This window comes from Homo sapiens, chromosome 18, assembly GCF_000001405.40.
Source record: "Homo sapiens chromosome 18, GRCh38.p14 Primary Assembly".
NCBI classification, from domain to species: domain Eukaryota; kingdom Metazoa; phylum Chordata; class Mammalia; order Primates; family Hominidae; genus Homo; species Homo sapiens.
Window position 1 is genome coordinate 76311982 of NC_000018.10, and position 22601 is coordinate 76334582.

General features: G+C 40.4%; 1 long non-coding RNA gene across 1 annotated transcript in view; it reads right to left on the reverse strand.

Moving 5' to 3' along the window:
- Positions 1 to 13568, reverse strand: part of LOC105372211 (uncharacterized) — a 46771-nt gene extending 33203 nt beyond the window's left edge. Inside the window, exons 1-2 of the long non-coding RNA XR_935655.2 lie at positions 10261 to 13568; positions 6590 to 6733 (exon numbers count right to left, since the gene is read on the reverse strand). This is a non-coding gene — a long non-coding RNA (uncharacterized LOC105372211). The remainder of the gene's footprint in view (positions 1 to 6589; positions 6734 to 10260) is intronic.
- Positions 13569 to 22601: the final 9033 nt, after the last annotated feature.

Genomic DNA, 22601 nt, shown 5'->3' on the forward strand with positions numbered 1-22601 from the left:
GATAAAACACCACAGTCTCTGACCCCCCAGACGTATCATCTACAAGGAGAACTGGATGTGCTTGTAGAGAAACAGAAACAACGCGCTGTTGGAAATCATAGCTGTAAACCAATTTGGGCTGGTGTGGGCGTTGGGTTTGGGATTTGGAGACAGTACTACTGAGGAGGGTTTTCATAAAGACAGTAATATTCGTTCCAGCTTTTGAAAGTGAGCAAGGAATTCTCAGGTTAGTAGATGGAAAAACGTCTGAGTACAGAACAGAATGACATTTTTGGAGAATGGCACATAGTTCAATACAGCTGGATCCCAAATTTCCCTGGGAAGGTCAGAAGGAAATTAGTCTAAAAAGCAGGCCAGGCATAGTGGCTCACGCCTGTAATCCCAGCATTCTGGGAGGCCAAGCTGGGTGGATCACCTGAGGTCAGGATTTCGAGACCAGCCTGGCCAACATAGTGAAACCCCAGCTCTACTGAAAATACGAAACTTAGCCAGGCATGGTGATGCACAACTGTAATCCCAGCTACTTGGGAAGCTGAGGCAGGAGAATCACTTGAACCCAGGAGACGGAGGTTGCAGTGAACTAAGATCGTGCCACTGCACTGCAGCCTGGGCAACAGAGCAAGACTCCATCTCAAAAAAAAATTAATTAAAAAAATAAAAATAAAAAGCAGGCTAATGTCTTATTAATGACTTTTTTGCTTTACAAACAAGTCGGGATTCATCCTGTAGTTAACATGGAGCTAGAAAAGTCCTCATTAGGGTAATAAGACAATGAGATTTCAATTGCAGATAAGTTGTTCTCCTATGATGCGGAGGAGACGAGTTGAGCCTGGCTCCAGGCAGGCAGTCAGCAGGCTGTTCACAGAAGAGATGGAATGATGCTGGCCTGAACCCCCAGACTTCTAGGCCAAAGGAAGGGAGCTGCCCAGGTACATGCCTCCACAATGCAGGGGCGGGGGCAGGGGCGGGTAGGGCAAAGGAATCTAACTGCTCAGTTCCTTCTTCCCAGACCCTTCTTCAGCGGCTGAGGTCACCATTTAGATCCAAGGTCTATGTCATTGGCCCAAAGCCCATGGCATCCCCCTGGCTGCCACCATCAATACATTCTCCTTCAAATAGAGTCACAGATCCTATGCCTGGAGGGATGGCTCCGGGCAAGGGAAACCATACATGATGTTTTCCTAAATACATAGAAGAATGGCATTTTATTTCAGACATAACATTTTAACAAGTACAAGGGCAGTTCAAAGAGAGCAGGCAGCACATAAAAATGGACAGCTACATCTCAGCACCTAAAAGAGGGCATAGCTGGGGAATCTCAGCCCTGCAGAAAAGGCAAGCATTCATGGGGGAATGGAAGCATGTATCCATGAGTCTCTAAAGTATTAAATAGCACAATCATTGCATTTGGAGGGAAATCATGAAATAAAATTCAAAGCAACATAATTGGCAGTAGCCAGATTTAAATTTTGTGAAGAAAAATCTAGGGCGGGGCAAAGTGGCTCACACTTGTAATCCCAGCATTTTGGGAGGCTGAGGCAAGCGGATCGCGTGAGCCCAGGAGTTCGAGACCAGCCTGGGCAATATAGCAAGGCGCCATCTCTACAAACAACACACAGATTAGCCAGGCATGGTGGTGTGTGCCTGTGCCAGGCATGGTGGTGTGCACCTGTGGTCCCAGGCACTGGGGAGGCTGCAGTGTGAGCATCGCTTGACCCCAGGAGGTCGAGGCTGCAGTCAGCACTGATCACTCCACTGCCCTCTAGCCTGGGAGAAAAAGCAAGAACCTGTCTTAAAAAAAAAAAAGAAAAAAAAATTAAGCCAAACACCACAAGATATTTCCTCAGAAACCTCTGTACATGATCACAGCCCATGGGAGTGGCACAGCCCTGAATCTTATGAGACTAAACAAAGCGTCGGTCAAATATTTTGAGAAACAAAAGGCAAATAGAAGGGATCTTTTACTAATGCAAGTTGAGATTACTGAGATTTGAAAATATATAATATGGAAAGACATTTTTGTATTGGGGAAGAGGAGGAAGAGAGCTCCATTATTTAAGGGAATATGTGCCTTTTTATTTAAGGCACATATTTAAGGGAATTATTTAAGGGAATATGTGCCTTTTTTTATCCAGCTAAAATCTGAACTAACTAAATAACAACTTTCTGTGCACATCAAAACAGTCCCAGGGAAAACGAGCTCTTGGCAGGGATTCCAAGCTCCTGAAAACACTCACCCACTTGGAGAGACACAGCTCTGACTGGCTAAAGACATGGGCACTCTGAGCAGGGAAGGTTTTATCAGAATTCCAAAAGATTCCATACACACCCTCTACGGAGGGGGCCCTTTAGAAATACCCGTTTTTGCTTATGTTTGTATTTCTTTTACTGTTATTTGAATCTCAATGGGAACCTCAAAATGAAAAAGGAAAGACTGTTTTCTGAAATCAATTCTCTACTCTTCCGCCTTCCTGAATGAAAGCCAGCACTCATCAAAGACTCCCGTCTTTATAGGTGTAAATACACCGGATGGGTAGAAAGCTCCCCTTTCCCATTCATTACTGTCATCGATTTGAAGAGAAAAAAGCAGGGGTCATTTATTAGAGGTTACTTTTCATGCAAAACACCCCATGTTAGCTGTCATTCAAAGGACTTTAGTCTACGCCCTCACTCGTATATTAGCAGGGCTTCAGGTCATAACCTTTTATGGCATTTGGAATTCCAGAACCTCTGATTAGTGCAATATTTACATATCCTCCAGTAGAAACGGTCCTCCATGGAAATGCATGAAGTGTTGTAAATTTGTTTGGCCTTTAGTCTAGACTATACATGAACTCTGAATTCAAAGCAGGGTGCATTAAACGATATTACTTTATCTTGTGATAGTGTTTCCATTAGTGGGACTCCAGTTAACCCTTTAGAGATAAACCAGCCTTTCAAGCCAGGAACATCAATTGAGGGAGGTTTTTTCAGTAAAATTAATAGTTGCCACTTACTTGAACTACCTTGACCATCTGATCCCATTTATATGTTTCCATATGAGAGAAGTATCTGTGTCAAAATCAGCCTTGATTTAATGGCCTCAGTGGGATTTGAAATGGTGAGAATTTACTGGAAGTTTTAAGAACATTAATGAATTATTGCATCATTACCTTAGAGGAAGACATCACTAATCTTTGACTTTCTGATCTACAATAATAAGGGAGCATCTTTTGTTGGCATTTCAAGATCAATATATGCTTTCTGTTTTTAATTTGCCAAATTATATTGTTCCACTAGCTGAGACTACTAAGTCTGCACCTGACTTGTGAATTTAACCAATGGGTAGGCGGTTGAAAATTGCCATACTTCAGTATGAAAAGAGTGGCCCAAAAATCTACCAACTCAATATTACTTTACAGGGTAATTTTTTTAATAAAGTTTATGTAGAAAAGATGTCCACAAGCTATGGCAGAGGTCTGCCAGGAAACAGACGACTGTATGCTTATTAAAATTCCTATGTCACTCAAACTGAGGAATGTGATGTACTTTTTTAGAAACAGTTTACAAATCTCCCTTAATCTGCTACTCCAGCTGCACTGGGGCTTTGAAAAGACACATGTGTTATTGTTATCTTCTTCCAAAACATGGTCTTCCTCCTGTGAAATCGGATGTGTGGATGCCTAGTGTAACATCCAATTTCAAAAAGAATTTCATCTCAGACAGCCTAATTCCCACCTGAAACTTTTGAGCATCATTTAAAATACGTTTGGTTGCAAGGGTTGTCCAATGAAGACATAGCTGCATTTTTTAATTTTATGTTTTGAACTGTCCACTCCGCCCTGAATTGTGAGTGTTGGAATCCATCTTCCACATGCAAAAAAATGACAGGGCTGGTGAGTGGTAAGAGGCAGGAAAGGGTTTGAAGATCGAAGGTGGGTGTGACCTGTGGACACTTACAGCACTCAGTCCCATTTACATCTCCTTCAAAGTACAGAACGATGGACATGTTAAACATCACTCCTTCACTTTAGTCTTGAGACCATGACTCACAAGCTGCTTCTGCTTTTTCATCTGACATTGCTTCTCATTCCCTGTCTTCCAACCCTGTTCTCTTTTCTTGAGAACAGTTTCCATCTTTCTGACTAATCACCCACCCAGAACCTTGTAAACAAATGATACGTATCTAATACAGCTGCATTTTCCAAACACCTGTTAACAGCAGATAACAATATCATATTAGAATTCAATCCATAAAACAGAAAAATATCATATCTGCATTTTATAAGTCAAAAGAATATTAAAATTAGTCATTTCTTCCCAGCCTCTAAAAAGATATGTTAATTTTTAGCTTGGTTTGAGAAACAAGCATGGTTGAAATAACACAAAGTGTCTCAGAAGGAAATCTTCACTTTAGCGTAAGGACATTCAGACTTTTTTTTGGACCCCTGGGTATTTGTTGCAATCAGAAACTTGGTTTGACAAATAAAATTAGCAGCTACCCTTACTGCATGCGGATATTGGAGCTACAGTAAGTTATATATATTATATTACTTAGTACTCACTGCTAATACCCCTGTTGGTGTGGAAATTGTATCTTCAGCTGGGGACCCTGAGGTTCAGAGAGGGAAATTAACTTGTCTAGGGTCACGGCTGGGTTAGCGGTGGCAAGAAAACGATCTGAGCTCTCTCCCCATCTGTTCTCCTGCCCGGCATCTCGGTTGTGCCGCAAGGCACACCAGGAGGGGTTGCACCTTGAAGATGCCCTTGTTGTGAGGTCAACCTGATGCAAAGGAGCTTAAAGCTGCCCCTGGCCTGAAGGAGGCAGTGAGTAGTGACCAGACACGAAAATACAATGAAAAAGGTGATTCTCGTCTCTTTCGGAAACAGACTGGCCATTATCCGTCTTTCTTATGGGATCTGCAGTCTTCTTGGACCTATTAAAAATGCAGGTATAAACAAACACAAATGGTTTGAGGATGACCCAGTGTTTTGGATTTTCCACTCCTTGGTACACTTTTATTACTGCAGGGAGTCACAGCATCTGCCAAAGTAAAAAATTGTCACACAAAGAATAAATATCTGACTAAATGGGTAAAACAAAATCAAGTGAACAGGACATGGTCTCACAAGCCACCTGTAGCTCTCCCAACACACATGAAAGGAGGCTGAGCATTTTATCATCATTATAATCACAATCATTTTATAATCACAACTGAAACCTACAAAATGACAACCAGCCTTCCAGGACAGGCTATGCACACATTGTGTGAGGGAAAAGGGGGGACACCCACAAACTCTACAGCATTATCCTACTAAAGTAGGTCAGAGCAATGAACTTGAGTACTGTGTGAGTAATCCACTCTGTGAAGAGTCTAACATGACTCTGATGGGTAGAAAGGGAAGTTTAACTTCAACTGCGAGTCCCAGCCACCTACTCTCTGTGGAGACATGCATACCATTGTGTTATTTCTCTTTCTTATGCATAAAAGTGAAATTCTAACATTCTGTTTAAAAGAAAATAAACATTTGTTACCACTTCTATAGAATAATTTTACTTCTGTGGTCATAAAGTCATCACTTCTACAGAATAATTTTATGTCTACTGTGGTCATTAAAGTCTACATGAGTGGGGAGGGTGCAGAGGGGCAGAGAAAAGTGGAGGATGTTTGTAAGAGCCCAGGTGGGCTCTTTGGAAGGTGCGAGGTGCGCGAGGGAGGAGCTAGTGATTGACGCGTGTGGTCATCACCTGTCCCTTATTGCAGCCACAATCTGGAGCTGGGCACAGGTACCAGCTTGTTCTCTCTAGCAGCCCTTGCTAGCAGCCCTTGCTCAGGTCCCTCCACAGCCATTTCTACTCAATCTGGGTCATGTCCCTTTTCCTTTTACAGTAAAGAGGGGCCGGGCGTGGTGGCTCACACCTGTAATCCCAACACTTTGGGAGGCGAAGGCAGGTGGATCACTTGAGGTCAAGAGTTCGAGACCAGCCTGGCCAACATGGTGAAACCTCGTCTCTACTAAAAATACAAAAATTAGCTGGGCGTGGTGGCACGCGCCTGTAATCCCAGCTACTCAGGAGACTGAGGTGGGAAAATCGCTTGAACCTGGGAAGCAGATGTTGCAGTGAACCAAGTTCATGCCTCTGCACTCCGGCCTGGCCCACAGAGTGAGACTGTGTCAAAAATAAATAAATAAATAAATAAAAAGCAGTAAAGAGGGAAAATCGGGAACCTGTTCTAAGCGTCTCCTTGTCCAGTGAGTCGCATTCCTGGTTGTCTTGCTCTCAAATTGACAATGGCTCATTCTGCCCAGCATGTGGATTTGATAAAGGTGCCTGTGCATTAACGTGGAAAGAGGGGCAGTTATTTATTTCACTCATCAGTCAGGACCCTAGGTAGGAACAATTCTCAAATACAACTACAGATTCAATTCTGGAACTCAGCTTTAGCTTCAGCAATCGCTTCCACCACAGAGAGAAATGCATCCAGCTCTCTTAGGAACAGGTATTCTTCTCTTCCACGGGAATATTGGCTTGACTGATCCCTGGCAGTTTCAGAAACAGAAACAAATCCATTTGCTTAAGAAGACAAAGCCACACACAATACTTAACTCATTAGAATGATTTAGCCGTGGCTGGGTATTGGCTTTGGCTGAGAGCACTGGAAGAAGTCCTGTGTATACAAACTTTTAGATTTCATCCCAATACTTTGTCTCCCATCCAAAATATTCCAGATCAAAGACCATGCTCCAAGTCCTGTGGGGGGAAAAAAATGGCTACATAAGAATTACCCTGTAATGGAGACATTTGCCAAGCTGGTTTTAAAAATTAAGTGTAAATAAACATGATTTTATGTACGTGGTGGCCGTGAGTTAAACAATCTGGTAGAAAGGCAGGCTCCATCTCGTTTCTTGTGCACGCAGATATTTGCTAAGCAAACGTAACCACAGTGATAACAAACAACCACATTATTGTACCCAAATGCATCCTTTTCCCCAACAGTTATTTTTGTTCCCCTTCTCTAAAAAATGTTCATACACAGAAAGAAAATAATCATGGTGTGGAAGTCCAGAGCTCACAGATCAATACTGCCCATTCTGCAAGTATGTTTCTGTCCCTTCTCTCTTTGGCTTTTTGAGCATAGAAGATATAAAATAGGCCTTTGAGAATTCCATGAAATAACTCTACTTTATGCTCAAATCACCCATAAAATGCACAATGAGAATCATGAATATAATTTTTATACCCAAGTTGAATTCCTAGGCGAGGCAGCAGTTGTTGTACTTTGACTAGTTGACTGGGCTAGTTATCTTCAGCAAAGTGCAAGGATAGGTTGTAGACTCCACTCTGTGCTGGCCAATCAACTCTGCTCTTTTCTGTGGCCACAGACAGCTCACCTAATACCAGGTGGATGTCTTATAATTAAATGTCATCAGTCACAGAGCATTTGGGCAAGAGAATGGGAAGGAAACCACATCATCCTAACTCCAGAAAGCTAACGCTACTGAACACTAGTCAGTCTTACATCTGTGTGTGGTGGACTAAAGGAGTGAGAGCTGAATGAATGTGTGAATAATAAGCTTTGAAAATGGTGAAGTGCCACACAAATACAAGTTTTCACAACAGACCAAATCCAGAAGGTCTGGCAAAAACAGAACTGGAAAGTCATTTTTATGCATACAGTCTGAATCAGGTTTCTTATTGCAAGCGCTTCACTGAAGTTGTAAGTGATTTGTGATTTGATCATGAATTGAAATATGGCACAGATTTAGAAATTCCGAGTTACAAGAAGCTGCGAGCCGATCTAAACCCAATGCCCTCACTTTACTATTAAAAAAATATTCAGCTACTCGGGAGGCTGAGGCGGGAGAATGGCGTGAACCTGGGAGGCGGAGCTTGCAGTGAGCGGAGATCTCACCCCTGCACTCCAGCCTGGGCTACAGAGCGAGACTCTGTGTCAAAAAATAAATAAATAAAATAAAATAAAAATAAAAAAAGATTAAGTTGTTGTGAGGATTTAATGAGCTTATGCACAGGAAAGTCTTCTCACTGTTCCCAATGCAATAGATACCTCCTCAAAGGTTAAATTACATGCACTGCACTACGCCTGAATTTGTAACACCTTGCCAGGTTACCCTATGCTCTTCCATGCAACTTTGCAAATTCCCATTGTCACCTCCCCTGCGGAGTCTTCCTCACTTCTCCCATCCTCAAAGCAAAATTAACCCTTTCTTCAGCATTTCCTTCAGAGATACAGAGAGCACTTATGTTACGCAAACGGTTGTAGTTTCTTTTTCATCTCTGTCTCCCTGTTTCTAACAGTCTGACTTGTACCCAGTATGTGTTCAATAAATTCATGTGAAACCTATTTGTGTCATTAGGGGCTTAATGGCTGGTAACCAGAAGTGTCATTTTCTCCGGAGACGCAGACTTTGTCTTGGCCATGAGTCATTCAAATTAGTAATTCCAACAGAGCTAGTTGGTAAATATCACCACGCAGCTATATGCAACCAGTACTAAAATTTGCTACTGGCTAAGGCTTTTCTTTGGCAACAACAAGAAAAGACCCCTGTTAATAATGGAGGAGAAATCACCAGGCACTCTTACTGCACTGTAGTTAGCATCTCGAGTTCTCTCAGAGAACGGCAAACTTCTAATAAGAAGTTCAAAGACATCCTTAAGAACGTGCCATTCAAGTTACATGAATACATTTAAGATGTGAGGAGAACCCTCAATGTAAAAATTACAATACAGGCCGGGCGCAGTGGCTCACGCCTGTAATCCAAGCACTTTGGGAGGCGGAGGCGGGTGGATCACCTGAGGTCAGGAGTTCGAGACCAGCCTGGCCAACATGGTGAAACCCCCGTCTCTACTAAAAAACAAAAATTAGCCGGGAGTGGTCACAGGCGCCTGTAATCCCAGCTACTCAGGAGGCTGAGGCAGGAGAATCACTTGAACCTGGAAGGTGGAGGTTGCAGTGAGTGAACTGAGATCATGCCATTGCACTCCAGCCTGGGGGAAAAGAGCGAGACTTCATCTCAAAAAAAAAAAAAATTACAATACAGACAGGCTATCTTATTCTGCATAGAGTTCATGTTCACTTTTGCTGCCTGAACACAGCAGATCAAATAGTACGGTACCTACAGTAAATCTAGCCAAGCCTTCCAAAGGGGACCCTCTTCAGTGAGAAGCTAAATGTTACTTGGTGCAAATGATTCAGCAGCTGGTATAGCTGAGTTTATAAGCTGGGCTGAAAAGTTTGATGTGGTGAACTAGGTTATAACATGTGATGCGTCACAAAGTCATTGATAGATATATTATGTGCAAAGAGAGCGCCAGGCCAACTCAACCTGTACAGTTTTTTTTTTAGCTTTATTATGTAATAGTCCTCAATTCATCACAAAGATGTTTAAATCACAAAGATTTTCAGAAGATTCCCCCTGCTTATTGGTAAAACTTAAAAGGCAATTTTTACAGCTCTGTTTTCTTAAGAAATATAATGAGTAAGCATATTGAGACATTTTTAAACACACATAGGAAAATATTTTTGTCATGTAAATTTTCCAGGGTATGGTTCAGAGAGGCAGTCATTTGTGTGAAGCTATATTAAGATGCTTATTTAAAAAATAACTCCAGATTTGACAAGTTACTCTGCCTTTAAGGGAAAATATTCAGAGAGTTCATTAAAAACCACAGAGAGAAAACTAAAACCTTCTAAGAGGTATATCTCCATTTCTTCCAAGCTATGCAATTTAATTCAAGCCTTTTTTTCTAAGTGTCTACATTTATTCAAAAGTGACCTAACACGAAGACTGGATAATTACTGGAACGTCTACACTGATCCAGTACTGATTACTGCCCTGGCTCTTACATCTCAGTCATCTATCTCAAACATTATTAAATATTAGGGATTCCTGTGATTTGTTTTGTCATCTCTCTACTTCCAACTTTCCTGCCACTCACTGCCAAGAGATTGTGAACAAAAGCCTGCTGCTTTAATCTCAATTTGTTACACTAAAAATGCAAAATTAAAGAAAAATGAGGAAAGTTTAATATTACCAGGGAATGTGATTGATAACGTTGTGTCATGTTATGAGTTTTAATATTATAAACTGAGTTTTATGTTACTCTCTTCTAATAGTGACATATTTAACATTTTAAGACTGATATAATAATTTTATGGGGTAAAATGGATATTATTAGATGATTAGACTGTAGTACTTTGTCAAATTCTTGTATATTAAATACAAAAAAAATACAATAAAAATAAGAGACTCTCCTACCGTCTGCTGAGTGAAAGAAGATAATGCATCCATCTGCGTGTCCTCCTTGTGCTCAGCGCCATCCCAAACCCTGCTCAGGGCTCTGAGTCACATCGTTTCTGTGGCACCAGATAAAAACCAAGCATTGTCTCTTATCTTCGTAAACAACTTACAATCGTTTGTGGCTGGCTATCGCGGCTGAATCTTTGTTTTATTCACAGGCGGTGCTCCCCCGAAAATCTCACCCATTCCTTGGAATACATTTCCAAAGCAAATTGGAATCCAAGTCTTGAAGGACAGTTCCTAGGTGACCAGTTAAAGAGGGGTTGATAGGAGAAGGCCAAGGGATGCAAAGCTTCTAGAAGAGTCTGTTCAAGCAATACCACGTAAGCCTCTTCAATAATAGTAAAAAGCAGATCAGATTGCGGTAGTAGAGTAGAAGTTGCTCGCGGGGGCAAAGATTTGACATAGTTCACAATGTGGGCAGGCATGAGACCTAACAGTGGATATCCACGGAGGACAGAAATAAGGAAAGCTGAGAAATCAGGTTTTGAACTCAGTTTCCAAGTGAGCTATGATCTAACACCATGCCACCAGCAGCGAGTGGGAAAGTGAGTATGCAGAGACGTGGGGAGGTTCCAGCTCTCCAAACCAGCTGAAACCAAACAGCAACAGGGCTCGTCAATTACTATCATCAACAACCACATGCCATCTGTGTTAGCTCTTTCCATGTGCTGATACTGAGTTAAGCATTTCATATACATATGAAACGCATATACTCATCCTCACAGTATTTTTAAAGCATACACTACGCGTATTCATTTACAGATTAAACTGTAAATCCTCTACTCTCCTTCCTCTTCTCTTTACACACACTTCTGACTCACAGCCTCCCTTGAGGCAGGAACATCGTGATATTAAAGACTTTCATCTGCTAGGTGAACCTGGACAAGGCATAAAATACTCATCCTTTTCTTGTTCTACCTCTTTTTGAGCAATAAGTTGCTTACAGAGAGGAAGAGAAAATTAAGAAGATAAGGATACCAGGAATAAAAACAAAACAAACCAGCATCTTCAAGCCCCCCATTTCACATTGGCTTAAGATTTGGCATGAGCTGGGGGGTTTGACAGGGGCACACGCAAAGAAAGAACCCAAACTGATTCTAACAGTACAGCTGTCAATCTGGTGTACCTGGATCCAGACCTGAGAAGTCCTGTTAGCCCATCACCTACACCCAGGTGAGAACAGGCAGAGGCTCAAAGCCTGGGCTTCTCAGTACCAGTTCACCTGTTAATGATTCTCCAAAATCCACGGTTTGGATAAACAGAGGCCTCCAATCACCCTTGAATTCACATTGACAATTTTCTGAAAACAGTAAAAGCGAAAAACAAAAATCAAGCTTCACTTTCCAATGCTCAGAATGCAATTTCATCCCAAACATCTCTGTGGCTTTTCTCCTCCCTGCCCTCTTGCATTCTCATGCACATGTATTCTATGTCTATATTGGTATTGACGTGACTATCAATGCAAACATAGACATAGGTATTACTAAAGGTACAGATGTAGGTTTAGATTTAGAGTATATAGATATACATATATCTGGTTATATTTCTGTTACATTTTGCAATCTAAATATCTGTGGTCATATTAGCAAGCCAAGTTTCTTAAAATCTAGTAGAAATATATCAACCAAGAAGAACAGCCACCAGGCCAGTACCCCCAGTTTCTTACGGGCTGCCTGGTTCGTCTTTACCTTTCGCAGGTCATTTGAGAGGTAAAACAGGATCAGTAACGTCCCGTCTTATTTTCCACCCAAAGAACCTGTAAGAAAAGCAGGCCCTGAGGCTGGCAAACATTTAGGTATTCTGACTCACAAAGTAGAAATGCAGCCCAAGGTCAAGCCCAGGTGGAAAAATCCATATCAGTAAATGCAAACGCTGAGCCTCATTTCCGGCACAAATGATGGATTTTGGTGTGATTTATTATTTCAATAATTCAAGTTCCCTGACCCAAAGGGGGCTTGTAGAGCAAAGTGGTAGCCAAAAAGAACAGATAATATGTGGAAACAAGCCTTCATTCACACGACTGCAGCCTAAAAGATGTCAAGACAGCCTCGCGCCAAGCCCAGGACCCCATGGAGATCAGGGTTGGAATTGCAAGAACAGGACTGTGTCATTCAGACAGTCTTCCTGTCACCCTCTGCTTTCAGGAGGTGCGACATCAGTAAAGACTGTTCACCTATCCCTTCCAGACAGGCAGTTTCTCCCTGTTAGGCCAGTGGTAAGAACTGCGGGGCAAGGGGCAGGCATTCATCGGCTGGGAAAGGAAGAGCAGTCCGCAGAGTGAGGCTGAGTTATTGCAGTTGTGCCCAAGCTGGCCCACTGTCTGCAGAGTTGCTGAGTTTGAAGTTATTTGGAAGACTGTGTGGATGTGTATAATTCCAACACATTGTTGGTACAGAACTTGTCTGTCTTCCTATGTGGAGTAAGAGTCTCAGCCTGGGTCCAGCCCCAAGACCTTATATTAACTCCACAGTTTTGACAAAAGCCTCTAAAATGTATTTGGGCTTGGAAAATAGTTTATTTCCAGTTGCTTCTTGTTAAAGAAAAGCAATCTGCTAACCAAACAAATTTTTGAAATATATTATAAGTCAAAACTTTGCTCAAAAATTATTGGTGTTTTCTAAAGACTCAAACTGTTAGACTAGCTTCTTAGTTGTACAGATCTACCCAAAATTTAGCCACCTAAGGCCATCAAATGGATGAATTTAGTCATGATAAGAGTAAACAATTTTATATTTGGTCACTGGCTTAAGATGTTTAAAAACGCTTCATGGAGGCTGAGACTTACCGTCCTGGGGTGATGGGTTTTACAAGGTAGGCCCTGTGGCTTTTGTTAGACGATACAACTAGTTGGAAAGGGCTGCACCCTCTATATGGTGCTTTATCCACTCTGCCTGAATAAACCCTACTCATCCCTCAAGTCTCAGCCAAGTTCCCAACACAGCCCTTCTTTGGAAGTCTCCCCTGATACCCCGGTAGGGTGAGGTGGCTCCAGGAAGACCCTCTAGCCTCCCGTTCGGTTCAGTATCTTTATCACGACAGTTGCTGACTACCGGCTCACTTCTCCTCCTGCACTCTGGGCTCCATGAAGGCAGAAATCACATCTGTCTAGCGTTTGTATACCTGATCACTGAATGAATGGATGTGGGCATCTTTCAATCACCTCCTCGCTCTGACCCCCTGTACCCAACATAATTCCAGGAGCAGGGTCAAGTTATTGCAGTCATCCCATGTGGTAGATGTTCAAAGAACATACCAGTAAAATGAAGCAGAAGGTGGAGAAGGCTTGTGGCCTCTGCACTTATTAACAGTGAATTTTATTGCATAAAAAGTAATATTATTTTCATGTTTGAGATTGTCACGTGTGCCCACACAGGTGCTAGCAGTAAACAAGCTCTACAACACCAGAGAAGACTCCAGTTGTCTAAGTGAATCTGATGTACTGAGAGCACTAGAGCAGCAAAGTGTTACTGGGAAAAAAAAGTCAGACACTGGGGCCAGGCAGAACCAAGTTCAAATCCTTGCTCTGCACTTTTACAAGAGTGACGTTTGATAAGTTAATTAACCTCTCTGAACCTCCAAGTGGCAATATTAATATTTTCACATCCCCAAAGTGCAAATAATAAAATCATCCTTAAAAGATTGTTAGTAGATATAAATAAGATATGTATATGAAGAACATAACAATATGTTTTAGACTAAAATAACTGATTAAAATGCCAGGAGAAGCCAGGGTATGTGGGAAGAGCAGAGAATGAAAAGCCAACTTCGAATTTAGTGAGAGAAAAAAGCTCAGAAGACATTTAGTGATTCAGCTGCACTGTTATTAATGTTATTATTTATAAAGCATGTTGAATGCCTAAGACATTTTACCAAACACAGACAATAACATGGTCTCTATTTTTACTTAACAATCACAAAGACATAAAACAAGCCTGCTAATGTCTGACAGAGTAAGATGTGTTAATGGTGTTTTCAAGAAATGAAGAATCCATGTTGCTGTTCTTACTGCTTCACATTACTTATGTTGGCAAAGTAAGTAGGTTATCACATACGCCCTCCCAAAAACCTGGAGAAGTTAGAAAAAAGAGAGAGAGGGAGACTTGTCATTGGCAATATCATTATCCCATAACTAAAAAAAAAAAATTCTTATCAAAGTTAGAATGGCACCAGAAATGTCAAGAAAGAGAAAAATAATTACTATTCTGGAAGGAATAACTAGAACTACTAGTAACTGTATACTTTAGATCAAAACCCAAGTCTGGGCCAAGATATGAAAGAGGTAAAACTTCAAAGGCATGTTGCACTGATGTGCTCCCTTGGGGTGGATTCTTTCTCTAACTCACAATGGTCAGGTGATGGCACTCGGCACTACCGACAAGGTGGGCTGGGCGCTGTGTCTGACCCCTGCAAGGTGGGTGTTCTATACATTACTGCTTGTAATCTAGGGAGATGGTTGGTTTATCTTGGCTCTTGCCCCTATCAAAGCTAAAGAAACATCCATCTCATAAATGAGGGTGTTTATAGGGAGCACTTTGGTTGAGTTTCAAATTGTCAAAAATTATAAAGCAGCCATTTTCTAAGTCATAGTACCACCGAGCTAATTGCAGGGACTATTTTCTATTATGACATGTTCATGGCACAATACGATGGTAGCACACGGACTTGTCAAAACAAATAAACCTTTTTTTTTAATTTAATGAAATCTATTGCACAAAGAGCTAAATAAATTATGGGGTTGAGGTAAATGTCTACTACACCATCAGCATTTAATACCTGAAGAAAAACAGTGGAAACTTTCAGGAATTGACTGAAAAATTAACCGAGCACAAATGAAAGGCTCTGTTACGATGGAAGGACATACCAGGGGCAGTGCACCAGGGTCTGAAACACAATTTACCACTCAGATTGCAGATGACTGTGTGCAGAATTTCAGAAGAGATGGTAAGGCCATGGTGTGGCTAAGAGAGGAGACAGAGAGATCATTCTCAGGTTATCAGAGAGGATTCATGCACGGCCACTGAAATGCAGAAATTGGTTTAGCACCCAAATTGCTACTTTCTTGTTTTCAATCAGAGAAGAGATAATTGGACCAAAACCAGAAAGGTAAGTAGACAATCACTGAATGGACAATAAAAAAAAAAATAGAAAGAAGCCTCCTTTAAAAGGAAACGAATGGCTGCCTGGTCATCAGCAAGACAGCTGATTAGAAGCCCCTAGTCCTCGTCCGCCCTACCAAAGAAAGCCAGAACAACAAATAAACAAGCACATTTGGTGAAAATAACTGAGGGAGAACACCGGAGTGCATCAGAGAAGTAACAGAAACACTGGTGAGCACAGAAACCCAGGATAGCCATGTAGACAGCAGAAGGAAAAGCCAGGCCTCCACCACCCCATCGCCAACCAGGATCAGCCAGGAACCAGAAGGAGCTTCTGCCTATGGCCAGGAGGCAAACAAGAGGATTCCAGCAACCCCCATCAACACCTTGGACACCTACAAAACACCTCACCACTGGGGTCCCCTGCGGTCCCCACCAGCACCAAGTCCAGCTGAGGGAGCTGCCCAGAGGCCACACAGCTGTGCTTTCCCCAGAAAAGGAGCCAACACTGTCCCCACTCCCTGTGCAGCTACGTTGCGGTGCAGTCTTGGAACTGAATGATGGCTGGAGCACGCCTTGCTTCCGGGGCATGTAGGTATGGCTCCCCTTCATCCCTGAGGCTAAGCCACTAATGAACCAGCCCACCCTGGTGGCCCGACATCCCTAAGCTGAGCTGCAAGCAACTGTTATCTCTCTCCCCAGAAGACCAAGCAGAGGTGGGTCCCTTCCACCTATGCCTCCTGCACCCTCTCCAGCTTGAGCTGAAGCAGTGCCCTACCTCCTGAGAAAATAATATCTTGGCCACTCCGAGGAGTTATGCCTCCTCCATGCCTAACTTGAAGTAGAGCCCTGCATCCCACAGAAATGTCTGAGCCACACAGAACAGTCACATATTCTGCACTTGAGCTGAAGCAGCACATGGACCCCTGGGGAATCAGTGCTCCGGCCAAGCTCAGCAACACAGCAGCTGTGCATACCAGGACTGAGCTAATGTACTATCCTGCATCTCAGGGAAACACAGCAGTGGCTGAGCTGAGACACCCTGCCCTACAGTACAAACAATTCTAATACCCTACTTTCCTGGAGCTGGACTAGCCCTCTAGAGTCGGAGCTGGACTAGCCCTCTAGAGTCTGAGCTTTCGAGACATCCCTCTCTCCAGGGAGTGTAGTCATCACTATGCCATTTTCTGATCCCTCCATGCCCAAATTACAGCTGTGCTCTGGAGTCTTTGCTGCCACTGAACCTGTCCTCACAGAGTCTCAGCTACTGCCCCCCACCCCCACCCTAGAGTCTAGAGTCACTACTACATGGTGTTTCAAACCCTGGGACCCAAGACGCCACTGAGCCCTATTGGCTCACATTCCCAAACTGCAGCCATATCTGCTCTTCTGGCCCAAACCTCCAGAGAATTCCTTCTTCCCCAGAGTCAGGCCAGGGTTGTGCCCTGCCTCCCAAGGGCAAAATCACAGGTACTACTCAGTCCCCAGGCTTGTACTACTAAGAGGTACCTCAGAGGCACAGATCCTGGCTCTGTGAGCAACCTACATTTAACCCTGCTAGAGACAGCAAACCTGTACCCCCAAGATTCCAGTGTCACAATAAGTTTGTGAGACCCTGAGGCTAGAAATCTGGCCCCACCGCTGAGCCAAACACTTGCACCTGGAACACAGCACTCCAGCAGCTGTTTACAGGCAGTCTCAGACCTGAAATCAAGAAGGAATCTTCTCAGCTAAGTTTCCCCAATGTGGAGAAAAAAAGAATAGGAAGACCCCAAAAGCCTTGACACAGAGGTCATTAACAACCTATGCTGCCACTGCCATAAGTGCCTACAGCCTAGATCACTGAGGTGCCCACAGTTTTTGCTGATATTGAAGACAACTGAAGAAGCTGCATGGAGATTGTGCCACGGCACCTATCTGGAAACTGTTACTATACCCTTCTTAATAAGCACGATAAAACCCAACTGCAAGTGAAAAGCCTTTCTCTATGAAAGCCACTGTAGAAAGTTTGGAAGAAGCAACTGTTCCACCAGATGCACAGACATCAATACAGGAACACAAGGAGCATGAAAAAGCAAGAAAATATGATGCCACCAAGAGAACATAACTTGTAGTAACAGAACCCAATGAAAAGGAAATTAATGAAGTGCCAGAAAACGAATTCAAAATAATGCTCTTAAGGAGACTCAACAAGATACCACACATACAGGAAAATAATTCAGTGAAGTGAGAAAAATAATTCATGGATAAGGAGAAAATTAAACAAAGATATAGAAATCATGAAAAAGAACAGAACAGAAATACTGCAGCTGAAGAATGCAATGAATTTAATTTTAAAATGCAATAAGAGCTTCCACAGCAGATTTAATCAAGCAGAAAAAAATGATCTCTGAACTTGAAGATAGGTTACTCGAAATTACCTAGTCAGAGAAAAACAAAAAAATGAAAAAGAGGGAAGAAAGTCTGTAAGACTTATGGGGGACACCATTAAGCAAAAAAATACACATATTATGAGATTTCCAAATGCAGAAGAGAATGAAAAAGGCATCAAAAACCCATTTAATGAAATAATAGCTGAAAATTCCCCAATTCTGGGGAAAGATATGGACATCCAGGTCCAGGAATCTCAAAGATTCACAAATAAATCCAAACCAAAAAAGATCCTCCCTGAGGCACATTATAGTCAAATTGTCAAAATTCAAAGACAGAGAGATTTCCAAAAACAGCAAGAGAAAAGTGTCTAGTCACATATAGGGAATCCGCATTAGACTAACAGCAGATTTCTCCACAGAAACCTTACAGGTCAAGAGAAAATGTGATGATATAGTCAAAATGATGAAAGAAAAAATTGCCAGTCAAAAATATACTCAGCAAAGCTATTTTTCAGAAATGAAGAAGAAATAAAGTCTTTCTTTGACAAGCAAAAACTGAGGGAATTCAATACCACTAAACCAGCCTCACAAGAAATTCTCAAAGTAGTCCTATATCTTAAAGCTAAAAGACAAAAATCACTACCCTGAAAACATGCAAAAGTATACAACTCACTTGTAGAGGAGATATACAAAAGAGAAAGAGAAAATAACCAAACTTTATCACTACAGAAAACCACCAAACCTCAATGATAAGCAATAAGAAAGGAAGAAAGGAACAAAATAACCAGAAAACAATTAACTAAATGACAGGAATAAGTCCTTACCTAACAAAAATAACATAAGTGGAAACAAATTAAATTCTCCATTTAAAAAATATACCTGGCTGAATAAATGAAACAACATGACCCAACTATATGCTGCCTGTAAGAGACTCCCTTCATCTGTAAATACACACACAGACTGAAAGTAAAAAGATAGAAAAAGATATTTTGCACAAACAGAAACCAAAAGCGAGTAGGAGTAGCCAGACTTATATCAGGTAAAACACACTTTAAGTCAAAAATTATGAAAAGAGACAAAGAAGGTTATTATACAATAGTGAAGGTATGAATTCAGAAAGATGATGTAACAATTGTACATAGATATGTGCCCAGCATGGGAGCACCCAGATATGTAAAGCAAATATTATTTGATCTATACGGAAAGATAGACTCCAATATAATAATAGTTGGAAACTTCAAAATCCCATTTTCACCATTGGACCGATCATCAAGACAGAAAGTCAATAAAATAAATATCAGATTTAAACTGACCTCTAGACCAAATGGACCTGACAGACATTTACAAAACATTTCATCCAACTGCTACAAACCACACATTCTTTTTATTAGCACATGAAACATTCTCCAGGATGGACCACATGTTAGGCCATAAAACTATTCTTGACCAATTTAAAAGAATTGAAATCATATCAAGTATCTTTTCTGACCACAATGGAATAAAACTAGAAATCAATAACAAGATAAACTTTCAATATTATACAAATATGTGGAGATTAAGCAATATGTTCCTTAAAGATCAACAAATCAATGAAGAAATTAAAAACAAAATTTAAAACATTTTTGGAACAAAAGAAAATAGAAACACAACAAACCTATGGAATATAGCAAAAGCAGGATGAGGAGAGAGGGTTATAAACACCTACATCAAAAAAGTAAACAGATTTCAAATACACAGGCTATGATACATTGCAAGGAACCAGAAAAACAAAAACAAAACAAACCCCAAACGAGTAGAAGAAAATAAACAATAAAAATAAGAGAACTAAATTAAATTGAGACTTAAAAAAATACCAAACATCAATGAAAGAAAAAGTTGGTCTTTTGAAAAGACGTTTTTAAGTCAACAAACCATTACCTAGACTAACGGAGACAAAAAAAATAAAGACCCAAATAAATTAAATCAAAAAAGAAAAAGAAAACATTACCACTGACATCACCGAAATATGGAAGATTATTAATGAGTATTACAAACAACTATATTCCAAAAACTTAGAAAACAAAAAGGAAATGAATAAATTCCTGGACACATACAACCTAACAAGACTGAAACCCCCAAAAATTTTGAGATAGAAAACCTGAACAGACCAATTACAAGTAACAAGATTGAATATTTAATAAAAAGTCTCCCATTAAAGAAAACCCCAGGACCCAATACTTTCACTGCAAAATTCTACCAATCATTTAAAGAAGAACTAATACCAATTGTCAAACACTTGCAGAAAATTAAAGAGGAGGTAATTCTTCCAAATTCATTCTACAAGGCCAGAATTACTCTGATACCAAAACCAAACAGTGAGAAAGGGAAGGGAAAGGAAGGGGAAGGGGGAGGGGAAGTAGGGCAGAATGGAAGGGAAGGGAAGGGAAGAGAAGGGAAGGGAAAGGAAGAAAGAAAAAGAAAACTATAGGCCAATACCCCTGATTAACATAGATACAAAAATCCTCAACAAAATACTAGCAAACTGAATCCAGCAGCATATTAAAAAGATCATTCATCATGATCAAGTGGGATTTATCCCAGGGGATACAAGGATGGCTCAAAATAGAAAAATCAATAAACATGATATAACATATTAACAGAATGAATGAAAAAATCATATAATCACTAATAGAAAGAAAAAGCATTTGATCACATTAAACATCTCTTCATGATAAAAAAGAAACTCTCAACAAGTTAGGTACAGAAGGAACATATGTCAACATCATAAAGGTTATATATGACATACCCACAGCCAACATCAATCTAAATGAGGAAAAGTTGAAAGCTTTTCCTCTAAGAGTTGGAAGAAAAGAAGGATGCCCATTTTCACCACTTTTATTCAACATAGTACTGGAAGTTCTAGCCAGAGCAATTAGGCAAGAAAAAGAAATAAAGGTCATCTAAACTGGAAAGAAGAAAGTCAAATTATCCCTATTTGCTAATGACATGATCTTATATATTGAAAACCCTAAAACCTCCACCAAAACCTTTTATAGCTGATAAATAATTTAGTAAGGTTGCAGGATACAAAATCAAGGTAAAAAAATTCAGTAGTGTTTCTGTATACCAACAAGAAAATAGCAGAAAAATCAGTAAAGAAAGCAATTCCACTTACCATAGCTATTAAAGAATAAAATACTTAGGAGTAAATTTAACAAATGAGGTGAAAGGTTTCTGTAAGAAAAACTGTAAAACACTGATGAAATAAACTGAATAAGACACACACACGAAAGGGAAAGATATGCAATGTCCATGAACTGGAAGAATTAATATATTTTAAATGACTGTACTACCAAAAGCAATCTACAGATTCAATGCAATTTCTATTAAAATACCAATGACATTCTTCACAGACATAAAAAAAAATCCTAAAATTCATTTGGAACCACAAAAAACCTCGAATAGCCAAAGCAATTTTGAGCAAAAAGCTGGAGTCATAATATAACCAGACTTCAAAATAAATATATTATAAAGCTATAGTAACCAAAATGACATGGTACTAGAAAAAAAAAAAACTAAAAATGTAGAAACAGACACATAGATCAATGGACCAGAATAGAGAAACCAGAAATAAAGCCACATGTTTACAGCCAACTTGTTTTCAACAAAGACATTAAGAACATTAACTGGAGAAGAAATAGTCACTTAAATAAATGGTATTGGGAAAACTAAATATCCATATGTAGAAAAATAAAACTAGACCCTTGTCTCTCACTACATACAAAAATCAACTGAAAATGGTTTATTGACTTAAATGTAAGACCCAAACTATAAAACTACTAAAAGAAAACATAGGTGGTACATTTCAGGACCTTGGTCTGGAGAAAATTTTGTGGAAAAGACCTCAAAAGCACAGGCAAGAAAAAAAGCAAAAATAGACAAATGGGATTATAGCAAACTAAAAACTTCTGCACAGCAAATGAAACAATCAACAGAGTTAAGAGACAACTTGCAGAATGGGAGAAAATATTTGCAAACTATTCACCCTGCAAGGGATTAATATCCGGAATATACAAGGAACTCAACAGCAAAAATAATAACAATAATAATCCAATTTTAAAAATGGGCAAACGAACTAAATAGACCACTCTCAAAAAAGACATGCAAATGTCCAACGGGTATACGAGAAAATGCTCAACAGCGTGAATCATCAGGGAAAATCAAAACAAAACCAAAACCAAAGTGAAATATCATTTCACCCCAGTTAGAATGGCTATTATCAAAAGTATATATATATATACAAATATTGGCAAGGATGTAGAGAAAGGAGAACTCTTATACACTGTTGGTGGGAATGTAAACTAGCTCAACCATTATGAAAAACAATATGGAGTTTCCTCAAAACAACTAAGAATAGAACCACTATATTACCTAGCAATCCTGCTACCTGGTATATATCCAAAGGAAATGAAATCGGTCTGTCGAGGAGATTATCTGCACTCCCATGTTTATGGCAACACTATGCACAATAGACAAAGTATGGAATAAACAGAACTGTTCCTTAAGAAAAGAATGGATAAAGGAAATATGGTATATATACACAATGGAATACTATTCAGCCATTAAAAATAAAGAAATTCTGCCATTTGTGGCAACATAAATGAGCTTGGAGGACATTGCATTAAGTGAAATAAGCCAAGCACAGAAAGATGGACACTGCATGGTTTCACTCATACGTGGAAGCTAAAAACGTTGATCTCATAGAAACAGAGAGTAGAGCAGTGATTAATAGGAGGGCAGGGGATGGGGGATAGCCGGAGGTTGGTTAATGGATACAAAATTACAGCCA